Source organism: Homo sapiens, chromosome 14 (genome assembly GCF_000001405.40).
Source record: "Homo sapiens chromosome 14, GRCh38.p14 Primary Assembly".
Taxonomy (NCBI): Eukaryota; Metazoa; Chordata; class Mammalia; order Primates; family Hominidae; genus Homo; species Homo sapiens.
In genome coordinates this window covers 71,677,414-71,689,546 of record NC_000014.9, presented here as the reverse complement: position 1 = coordinate 71,689,546, position 12,133 = coordinate 71,677,414, and the positions used below count along the sequence as shown (strand labels likewise).

Sequence of the window (12,133 nt, the reverse complement as noted above, 5' to 3'; positions counted from 1 at the left end):
GCTGATCCCGCATTATGTTTAAACACAGTAATGTATCAAGTTCAGCGTGCCACAGCCAGCAATTTTTATTTCAATCCTACCCTTAAGCTCTAGGTAAATTTGAGGCCAAAATAGTGACCGTATCATATTACCTATTTCTGTTGAACGAATGTTAATTGTTAATAACTACTACTCTCACAAATACTGTAAAATTCTGTAATCAGAAAGCCACCTGGAGAGCATAAAACTCATATATTTAAACCAAATAGAAATTAGACTTTATTCTATTTAGATGCCAAATGGATTATCAATTCTTACTGTGTCAGTTTCTCTTAACTATGTATAAAGAACATCATCCAACTAAAGAATTTTTATTAAAACTCAAAACACCAACATTTTTATGTCATAAAAATCCTGACCTTGATATTAAAGGAAAAATATTATGCAGATTTATTTTTTTTGTTCCTAATGACCTTTAAGTCTGGGATACTACATACAAATTAAAGAAAAACTATGCTTCTACAAGCAGTAAATTAGTGTTTTCACCCAAAATGGACTGTGTTGGATCCATCCATGGTTACTTAAGTGGGCAGATTTGGGGAGCACTGGAGGAGTAGACTTGAGATGGCTGCTAACTTGAGCTTAAGTATAGCTGGTTTCTCTATGGTTAAACACAATTTCCCTAACCTACAGGAGAAAAAATGAATGGAATGAACAACTGTAAAGCATTCTTTAGTCACAATATTACGCCACACCATTACTGGTAAGGCAAGATTCAAGGTCTGGCAGACCCTGTCATTTATTTTCATGATTTATGATTCCTCTGAAAGGTCCAAATTATACTTGGTGAGTACAAGGTACAAATTGTAAATGGCACTCAGGACGGCGCTGGTATGCAGGGGAGAGTCAGATGGATGAGGGGTGCCCCGGTACTCCTCACTTCTGTATCTCAATAAGGTATTTGTTCTCAGTAGGACTACAAAGGGGATGCTTTAAGTTTTCAGTTATGTTTTACTAAATTTCATGAAGGAAATTATATTCTAAGGTGAACTTTATGCATCTGGGGACTCAAGAAGGACTGAGGAAGTATTTCTGATAAAACTCATGAATCTGCTCTATCCTCAAATATTCCTGGAGTCACAGTAGCAAAACAAACTTTCTCAAACACGAGTAGCCCGTATCCTAAATTCTTTGGACCAGAAATGTTTTGGATTTTGGAAGTTTTTGGATTTTGAAATATTTGCATTACACTTGCAGTTGAGCATCCCTAATCCGAATATCTGAAATCCTCCAATGGGCATTTCCTTTGAGCATCATGTCAGTGCTCAAAACGTTTTAGATTTTGTAGTATTACAGATTTCAGACTTTTGGATTAAGATATTCAATCTATAGTACCTTCTCTTTATGCCTCAAAATTAAAACTTAAAAGATATTTTTTACTAAAAATTAGGAATGATGGGGTAAGAAACTGAACTTTAAATTTTCATAAAAGAAGAATATCCATCCAATTAATTACCATATATTTCAAAATGAAGATGAGCCAAATCATCCTAATATCCTGGAAACTGTAGGACTGAGATCTCACAAGTCATCTAAGCCCTGCATCCTAAGATCTGAAATCCTAGTCTAGTGTACTGAATATATACCAGAGACTAAGGGGGCAGTGAGTAGAGGTTAAATTTTCCTGAAAACCTCGTCAGCCCCACCTATGGCCCTTTCACCTCTGCAGCTTAGAGAGTCACAAGCTACTCTAATGGTCTTCTAGAAGGCGCACTTACTGAGATGCATTTTCCTCTGGGTGGAGTAAAGAAGAAAGGCAGACACAAGTACACACAGAAATTACCTCTAGAACTCAAGGATCTACATCTGGAAAAAATGGAGTTCTGCATTCTCTAGCACTGAAAGCTGCTCCCATCGAAATATGATACTCAGCTACAAAAAATATTTTCCCTTTTGAAGGTCAGTATGACTGGCAAGGAGCTTTAGTTTCTGTTGCAGAAATTAAATTCAACATGGAATCAAAATACATTCTCAAATGGAATATTGTATAAAGGAAATTACACAAAGCCAATTTCACTTGTGAAAGCCTGCTGATTGTTCTGGAGAGAAAGAAAACAGCACTGAGGTGGGGGAAAAGGTCCTTCTCTATACAGTGATTTCCTAGGTTCATCTTTCAAAATGTGGGCCAAATCATGAATTCCAGTTAGCACACACCTCAGAGGCAGCCAAGTCTGGAATGTGTCAAAAAAAGAATTTACTCAGAGGTCTCTTGGATGTTTTCCTCCTCAAAATAAGGAAAGAGAGGAGTCCAGATGGTAATGGGGCCACTATGGGAGAGGAAACTTTTATTGAGATAAATAGCAAGGCTCTGTAAACAGATCTCCAGGATGAAATGAGAAGTTGTAGAAAGATGACTATGTTTTTGGTTTGTCTGTTTTAATTAAATTGTTTGTCTGTTTTTATTAAATTATTTCTACATGGTATCCTAGTAACCTAAAATAGTTAAGTGACAATGTTTTATGCAACAGTTCAAAAGTCAGACTAAGATAAAGACTTCATAGTGTGGTTTCTAAATCTTCCTGCTCTCTGCTTCCAAACTGGAGCGGTGATGATTTACGTGTATCTGGGAACCGTTTTCCTCAGCACCCTGCTCCTGCCAGACCTGGTTCTTGCCACTCAGATGAGTCAGGCTCATGTTTTGGCTTCCACATGGACCCTCCCTTCTCCCCAACACAGTTCCCAGAATACAGACTTCTCCCCAGGTCTAAGGGTTTTCACAACAACATTCTGAGATGTGATTAAGGCAATCCTGAAGAGATGGGGAAAGGACAGTGGATGGACAGAAAGAAGTTGACTTCTAGGCCAGGCGTGGTGGCTCACGCTGTAATCCCAGCTACTTGGGAGGCTGAGACAGGAGACTCGCTTGAACCTGGGAGGCAGAGGTTGCAGTGAGCCGAGATAGCACCACTGCACTCCAGCCTGGATGACAGAGTGAGACTCTGTCTAAAAAAAAGAAAAAAGAAAGAAAAAAAAGAAGTTGATGACTTCTAGCAGACCACTAGCAGATTATTCAATTAAACTGCTTTAGTGTACATGATTTGAGGTAACCAAATTTATAGTGCAATTACTTAAAATCTGTATAGCCAACTTCTATTCCCATTTTGAAAGCACTTAATCTAGTTTAATTTTAGGCCTGGACTCTAGTTCAAAGTGCTGCAGTTTACTCTTAACTCCAGACAAAAGTGCTAGGGCAACCTTGTAAAGGCAGAGTTAACCCACTACCTTTTGGGAGGGAACTCTCTATGGCTTTCAATTTAACAACAACCTTTGGTTTCTTACTTTCTAGGACCCCTCAGTCCCTCTCCCTCTGGCTTACTTTACTCAGGACTAAGTGTTTTAACGTATCTCCACGTATCGTCTTCTCTTCACTATTCTTTCCTATTTTCAGAGTAGTGAAAAATATGTTTGTGTTATACTAGTTTTCCTTCCGCATAATCCTTTATTAATAAAGTGACACAAACATAGTTATTCAACCAAAAACCTGCCTTCTGTTGCTCTTATATCATCATTTCGGAACAAAATGATGAAGACTGTCAAGGATGATATACAGTCACTGTCACCTCAAAGAGTCTGCTAAATTCTAATCCACAGGGCCACTAAGCATGCAGTAACGACGTCTGTTGATAATCACACGGAAATTAAAGAGCAAAGCACAAATACCAGTGTGCAGAGCTGAAGGCTTTGCTAGAATCAATCTCTGTTGATCCTTATGGCTTTGGAACACTACCATGCTTTGAAAGTCACTACGGTATGCACCTCAGTTTAATTCTTTGTTTCTAGTAAAATATGAGAAGGCCTAAAACTAGTGCTTATGGGTCTGTGTTACTTACATTTGGGGCAGAGAGAGATAGAGCAAACCTTTGAAGGCACACTTACCGCCTCTCTAGTGGGCGCCCGTCACTGGAGATGCTTCGAGGGATGTTGGCGGCTCTTTCTGGAGGAGGCATCTTCCCATCTCCTTTTCCAGCATTCAGCCGCGAGGTCATGGGACTCTGCACCTGGGACGGGACTTGAGGTGAATGAGGCCCCTTGCTGGCGTTCCTCTGCCACTTGTTATTATTTCGGAAGGGAAACTTGAATTCGTATGAAACACCTTCATTCATTTTGTACTCCATCACTGGCATGCGGTAGGTTTCAGAGCAACTCCTATTAGGGGCAAGGCACAGGGAGAAACACAATGGATACTGCTTTTTCTTGCTGGTGGAACCACATTGATTCTCATTAACACTTAAAAATGGATCCACAATTTCACCCTCTGTTTCAAACCACCTTTCAATCTTTGGGCCCTAGTACTTATTTTCTTTTCAAAAACCAGAACCCAAGGAAGTATTATAATAGTATTTTCCTTTACTCAATCCCAACTTTTTGAGTGCGAGATATGGAGTCTTTAAAAAACAATGGGACCCACGGACACCCTGGGGGTGGCCAGACTACTGAGACCTGAGGAGGAAAGGCCACCAGGACAGCATGACGGGGGCATACCTGAGAGCATGAAGTCTCAATGGAAGCAAGCGGCTTCACACACCCACCACTGCACACCACAACTGGGTTCTGAAAGGGTGTATGAGCAGCTTCACAACCCGCCACTGCACATCGTGACTGGGCTCCAAAAGGGTGAACGAGCAGCTTCACACACCTGCCATTGTACACCATGACTGGGGCTCCAAAAGGGTATACAAGCAGCTTCACACACCCGCCAATGCATACAGTGACTGAGCTCTGAAAGGGTGTATAAGCAGTTTCACACACCTGCCACTGCACATCTTGACTGGGCTCCAAAAGAGTGTATAAGCAGCTTCACACACTTGCCACTGCACATCGTGACTGGGCTCTGAAACGGTGTACGAGCAGCTTCACACCCCCACCACTGCACACCATGACCAGGCTCTGAAAGGGTGTATGCGCAGCTTCACATTCCCGCCACCGCACATTGCGACTGGGCTCCGAAAGGGTGTACGAGCAGCTTACAGACCATTTCACTTTGGACCAGCGACATCACAAGTGCTGTGTAGCCACATGCCTCCTGTCCTGGACAGTGCAGGCCCAAAGGGCGTCCGGCCAAAGGCCTGGTCTTGACGTGGATGAGGCTGAAGGCGCGGGGAGGGAAGGTGAGACATGGAGATGGGGGGCAAAGTGGAAGGGTTTACATAGTTGGCTGGCAGGAGAATAAGGACAATGGAAGGTGCCACTCTTTCATGACCTTGTCTACATATCTCAGTGTTGACTCCTTACATTTCAAATGTGTATTCCATAATGCATCTTCTCCCCCACCTTCAGTAGAGTTTTTGTTGTTGGAAAGTGCCACTTTTGGAGCATGTGCTCAGAAGGAGCAATGGCGTCTGCTGCCATCCTTACTTGACTCAGTCATAGCCCACGTCTCCAAGGAGTACTTTCTTCTTGGGGTTTCCTTACCAGTCCCCCAAATGTCCCAAAAGCCAAGGGTGACCTTAATCTGACCCTCCGCCCAAGGCTCCACTCTATCCCTTTTATGCTTTAATAGCAATGGCTTTCACACTTTCTGGATGACAACCTAAGACATACATTTCACACTGGGACACAGCACCACCATATATACACACAGATGTGCATCCTTCCTCTCATGTCTTCCATTTTGCTGTATTCTGAATACACTTCATCCAAAAATACACTGGGCACAATGTCCTAAATTGATTTGATGATCTACTTGAGAGTTATGGTCTGCAGTCTGTAAAACATTGTTTTATGGCACATTTGACATTACTTTTAGTAGTTAATGACTGCTATGTCATTAAAACCTTTTCTCTAATAGAACCTTTTCTCTAATATTAACGAATACTACTTTAGGCTCTGATATAATTTCAAGCTTTGATTCTGATATTTATGACAAAAATATGCCACTGCAACCCTTTTTTGGTTGTTCATAGAGGTAATACACTGTGGTATAGTTTAGAGTCTTTCATTTGTGACTACAGCCTTTCGTTTCTGACTAAATAAGGCATATTATAAAGATCTAATGTTCTGGATCAGTAAATACAATGCAAAAATATTACATTTTACCAAAGGAATATTGACTAAAATTTATAATAATGCATGGAAAAATTTCACTTATGCTCAAAATCTGGACTATCTTTGCTTCTCCTCAGCAATGCTCTTGTTCTAACTTGTAAACTCAAAGAACATCACCATCTATGCCCCTTTCTGTCGGCTGCTAGGAACCAGCACATGTACAGAACTTTATTATTATGTATTTTGGGCACCAACTTTCCAAAAATTTTCACCTAGGCCATGTTTTGCTTTCACTACTACCTCTTCCACCTCCAATTCCCTAGCTAAGCTTCTATTTTAATACTGTACAACTACTTTCTCTTTCTTTTTGAGAGAAGGTCTTGCTGTGTCGCCTAGGCTGGAGTGCTGTGACGTGATCAAGGTTCACCACAGCCTCAACCTCCTGGGCTCAAGTGATTCTCCCATCTCAGCCTCCTGAGTAGCTGGGACTACAGGTGTGCACTGCCACGCTCAGCTAATTTTTGTATTGTTTGTCGAGACAGGGTTTCACCATGTTGCACAGGTTGGTCTCAAACTCCTGAGCTCAAGTGATGTACCTGCCTCGGTCTCCCAAAGTACTGGGATTCCAGGCATGAGCCACTGTGCCCAGCTCACAAGTACTTTCATAGGCTGTTTTAAGTCCATTTTGCATCAGGCAGATAATAAAATAAATAATGATAATGGTAACAGACACAATAACAGCAATAACATAATATCAAACAGACAAGTTACTTTATCTTTGGGTTTCTTCAAACACTCTTTGGAATAGTCTTTTAAACTGCTTAACATTTAGTATGAAAACTGGCTAGAAGGCCTCTCTGGCCAAAGACGCTGTCTTCCCCACAGTCTACATTTTATTTCCACCACTCATAACATATAACTAGAAACTTTCTTCATATCCCACATTGGCCAAATATAGTATGATAAAGTCTGAGCAGAGAGAAGATTCATTCATAAACAATGAATAAGCACAGAAGGTTCTGCAGAGCTAAACTTCAGCTACTCGCCATTTCTGATTGCCTTTTGTGGCCAGGGTAACCATCACTGGCTTCCTGGTCTCTTACTTAACTCTGCAAAACAGAAGAACGTTATGTAGAATCAAGAAGTATACAACAGACTGAAGAATACAGATTAAAAACTGGCTTTTAATGCTATGCATAAACTTTCATAAAAGGATTTTTATTATATCATTCTAAGTAAAATTCTGTGTTGATGAACGGTAACTCTAATAATACCTATAACTTACAATGGGCCAGGCACGAATTTAGCCACTTTACAGCAACTCTATGAAGTGGATGCTATCATTATCCCCACTTTGTAGAGGAGGAAATAGAGGCCTAGAGAGATTAACCTGCCCAAGTTTACACAGCCAGCAGGTGGCAAAGCCAGGATTTAAACCCACAGAATTAATACATACTATGTAGGTAAGACTGTGTAAGTTAGTCTTATTTTAGCCATTAACGAAACCATTCCAATTCTCCAAGGAAAATTCAACAACTTTTATAAAACCCAATTAAAGGGCTATGGCCAGCAGGAATTACAATGTCAATGCTAAACGTGATAAGAGGTGACATGCTGAAACCCTAAATTAATGGAAAAGCTACTCCATCTCCTTACTCTGTTTTTCAGTCTTTGTATTCTTTCTCTTTTATCTTTTATTTCTCATAACTCTCTCCTTTTTCCTTAAGACCCTGTGGAATATAGAGAAATGGTTGACTAGGAAATTGAACAGAACATCACAACACTGGACTCACGAGTCAGAAAAGTTTTATGTTTGAGGATGGCTTGGTCCCTATAAGCCATGTGACTCTGGCTTGGAAAAAAACACATAAATTATTTGAATCAAAACTCCTCCTCTGAAAAATGAGAGATCTGAACCACATGATTTCTAATTGCCCTCTTCACTCTAAAGCAGTATGCTTTAGCACTTTAAAATACTGGATTTTTAAAATGAAGAAAAAATGCTGTGACCTATTCTTATTTAAGAGGTAATTTGGTCTTATGTAACCTGTTTGTTTTTAGCTTGTCATTTTGAATGGCCCTTAATTGCTTTCTTTAAGAACTATAGGCTAGTGGCCCTCAACAGAATAAAGGGTTGACCACTCTATGCAATACCATCCAGAACATCACAATTTAGTCTGTTCATCCAGGTACTTTTCATCTTGTCACGGGAATGACGGTGAAGACCCAGAGGTCACAGAGGTCACTAATCTATTGATGCTGGCTACCTACTGCAGAGGGGTGACAGCAGGGGGGTGAGAATCAGGCAATTCCTGCATAAGGGGCCTGCTCACTCCAGGGAGGTTTTCCAGTGAAGTCTACCAGGACTGTGTCCATCAGGCTGTCATGCTAGCTGGTTCCGTTCACTCTTTGGGCAGCAACTGAACTTCTCCCAGCCTCATTCTCATCGCTGTTTTAATAAAAATGAAGCTGCTGATACGGAAGTGCTGGGAAGGGAATAGCATGTTCCCTTTAAATGATATGAAGCAGGGAAGGGAAGAGCTGGGTAGAGGAGGGAGTGGTCCCTGGCTAGGGCTCCACCCCCACGGATCAAGATGAGGACAGGCACTCCTGCCTTTGTGTCCAGATGCTGCATTTCCAAAGACAACCCTGGCCCATGACGCCCCCATCCTGTGGCTATAAAGACCCGAGGCCCTCTAGATTTTCTAGTTTATTTGCGTAGAGGTGTTTATAGTATTCTGATGATAGTTTGTGTTTCTGTGGGATCGGTGGTGATATCCCCTTTATCATTTTTTACTGCATCTATTTGATTCTTCCCTTTTCTTCTTTATTAGTCTTGCTAGTGATCTATCCATTTTGTTGATCTTTTCAAAAAACCAGCTCTTGGATTCATTGATTTTTTGAAGGGTTTTTTGTGTCTCTATCTCCTTCAGATCTTCTCTGATCTTAGTTATTTCTTGCCTTCTGCTAGCTTTTGAATGTGTTTGCTCTTGCTTCTCTAGTTCTTCTGATTGTGATGTTAGGGTGTCAATTTTAGATCTTTCCTGCTTTCTCTTGTGGGCATTTATTTAGTGCTATAAGTTTCCCTCTACACACCGCTTTAAATGTGTCCCAGAGATTCTGGTATGTTGTGTCTTTGTTCTCATTGGTTTCAAAGAACATTTTAATTTCTGCCTTCATTTCGTTATAAACCCAGTAGTCATTCAGGAGCAGGATGTTCAGTTTCCATGTAGTTGAGCTGTTTTGAGTGAGTTTCTTAATCCTGAGTTCTAGTTTGATTGCACTGTGGTCTGAGAGACAGTTTGTCACAATTTCTGTTGTTTTACATTTGCTGAGGAGTGCTTTACTTCCAACTATGTGGTCAATTTTGGAATAAGTGCAAGGTGGTGCTGAGAAGAATGTATATTCTGTTGATTTTGGGTGAAGAGTTCTGTAGATGTCTATTAGGTCCCACTTGGTGCAGAGTTCAATTCCTGGATATCCTTGTTAACTTTCTGTCTCGATCTGTCTAATGTTGACAGTCGGGTGATAAAGTCTCCCATTATTATTGTGTGGGAGTCTAAGTCTCTTTGTAGGTCTCTAAGGACTTGCTTTATGAATCTGGGTGCTCCTGTATTGGGTGCATATATATTTAAGATAGTTAGCTCTTCTTGTTAAATTGATCCCTTTACCATTATGTAATGGCCTTCTTTGTCTCTTTTGATCTTTGTTGGTTTAAAGTCTGTTTTATCAGAGACTAGGATTGCAACCCCTGCCTTTTTTTGTTTTCCATTTGCTTGGTAGATCTTCCTCCATCCTTTTATTTTGAGCCTATGTGTGTCTCTGCACATGAGATGGGTCTCCTGAATATAGCACACTGATGGGTCTTGACTCTATCAAATTTGCCAGTCTGTGTCTTTTAATTGGAGCATTTAGCCCATTTACATTTAAGGTTAATATTGTTATGTGTAAATCTGATCCTGTCATTATGATGTTAGCTGGTTATTTTGCTTGTTAGTTCATGCAATTTCTTCCTAGCATCAATGGTCTGTACAATTTGGCATGTTTTTGCAGTGGCTGGTACCAATTATTCCTTTCCATGTTTAGTGCTTCCTTCAGGAGCTCTTGTAGGGCAGGCCTGGTGGTGACAAAATCTCTCAGCATTTGCTTGTCTGTAAAGGATTTTATTTCTCCTTCACTTATGAAGCTTAGTTTGGCTGGATATGAAATTCTGGGTTGAAAATTCTTTTCTTTAAGAATGTTGAATATTGGCCCCCACTTTCTACTGGCTTGTAGAGTTTCTGCAGAGAGCCACTGTTAGTCTGATGGGCTTCCCTTTGTGGGTAACCTGACCTTTCTATCTGGCTGCCCTTAACACTTTTTCCTTCATTTCAACTTTGGTGAATCTGACAATTATGTGTCTTGGAGTTGCTCTTCTCGAGGAGTATCTTTGTGGCGTTCTCTGTATTTCCTGAATATGAATGTTGGCCTGCCTTGCTAGGTTGGGGAAGTTCTCCAGGATAATATCCTGAAGAGTGTTTTCCAACTTGGTTCCATTCTCCCCGTCACTTTCAGGTACACCAATCAGACGTAGATTTGGTCTTTTCACATAGTCCCATATTTCTTGGAGGCTTTGTTCATTTTTTTTTACTCTTTTTTCTCTAAACTTCTCTTCTCCCAAGACTAAACCAGGAAGAAGTTGAATCCCTGAATAGACCAATAACAGGCTCTGAAATTGAGGCAATAATTAATAGCCTACCACCAAGAAAAGTCCAGGACCAGACGGATTCACAGCCGAATTCTACCAGAGGTACAAGGAGGAGCTGGTACCATTCCTTCTGAAACTTCCAATCAATAGAAAAAGAGGGAATCCTCCCTAACTCATTTTATGAGGCCAGCATCATCCTGATACCAAAGCCGGGCAGAGACACAACAAAAAAGAAGAATTTTAGACCAATATCCCTGATGAACATCAGTGCAAAAATCCTCAATAAAATACTGGCAAACCGAATCCAGCAGCACATCAAAAAGCTTATCCACCATGATCAAGTGGGCTTCATCCCTGGGATGCAAGGCTGGTTCAACATATGCAAATCAATAAATGTAATCCAGCATATAAACAGAATGAAAGACAAAAACCACATGATTATCTCAATAGATGCAGAAAAGGCCTCTGACAAAATTCAACAGCCCTTCATGCTAAAAACTCTCAATAAATTATGTATTGATGGGACTTATCTCAAAATAATAAGAGCTATTTATGACAAACCCATAGCCATTATCATACTGAATGGGCAAAAACTGGAAGCATTCCCTTTGAAAACTGGCACAAGACAGGGATGCCCTCTCTCACCACTCTTATTCAACATAGCGTTGGAAGTTCTGGCCGGGGCAATCAGGCAGGAGAAAGAAATAAAGGGTATTCAATTAGGAAAAGAGGAAGTCAAATTGTCCCTGTTTGCAGATGACATGATTGTATATTTAGAAAACCCCATCGTCTCAGCCCCAAATCTCCTTAAGCTGATAAGCAACTTCAGCAAAGTCTCAGGATACAAAATACAAGTTCATATGGAACCAAAAAAAGAGCCCACATTGCCAAGACAATCCTATGCAAAAAGAACAAAGCTGGAGGCATCACGCTATTTGACTTCAAACTATACTACAAGGCTACAGTAACCAAAACAGCATGGTACTGGTACCAAAATAGAGGTATAGACCAACAGAACAGAACAGAGCCCTCAGAAATAATACCACACATCTACAACCATCTGATCTTTGACAAACTTGACAAAAACTAGAAATGGGCACAGGATTCCCTATTTAATAAATGATGCTGGGAAAACTGGCTAGCCATATGTAGGAAGCTGAAACTGGATCCCTTCCTTACACCTTATACAAAAATTAATTCAAGATGGATTAAAGACCTAAATGTTAGACCCAAAACCATAAAAACCCTAGAAGAAAACCTAGGCAATACCATTCAGGACATACGCAAGGGCAAGGACTTCATGACTAAAACACCAAAAGTAATGGCAACAAAAGCCAAAATAGACAAATGGGATCTAATTAAACTAAAGAGCTTCTGCACACCAAAATAAACTACTATCAGAGTGAACAGGCAACCTACAGA

The 12,133-nt window shown here is 40.6% G+C and overlaps 1 protein-coding gene across 58 annotated transcripts in view; it reads right to left on the bottom strand.

Annotated features, from left to right (window-relative positions):
• The window catches only part of SIPA1L1 (signal induced proliferation associated 1 like 1), a 420,734-nt gene that overhangs the window by 51,663 nt on the left and 356,938 nt on the right, over positions 1 to 12,133 (bottom strand). For all 58 annotated transcript variants that reach the window (XM_047431217.1, XM_047431229.1, XM_047431218.1 and 55 more), the window contains one exon: positions 3,916 to 4,185. In XM_047431217.1, coding sequence (XP_047287173.1) covers positions 3,916 to 4,185 — 270 coding nt within the window. The remainder of the gene's footprint in view (positions 1 to 3,915; positions 4,186 to 12,133) is intronic.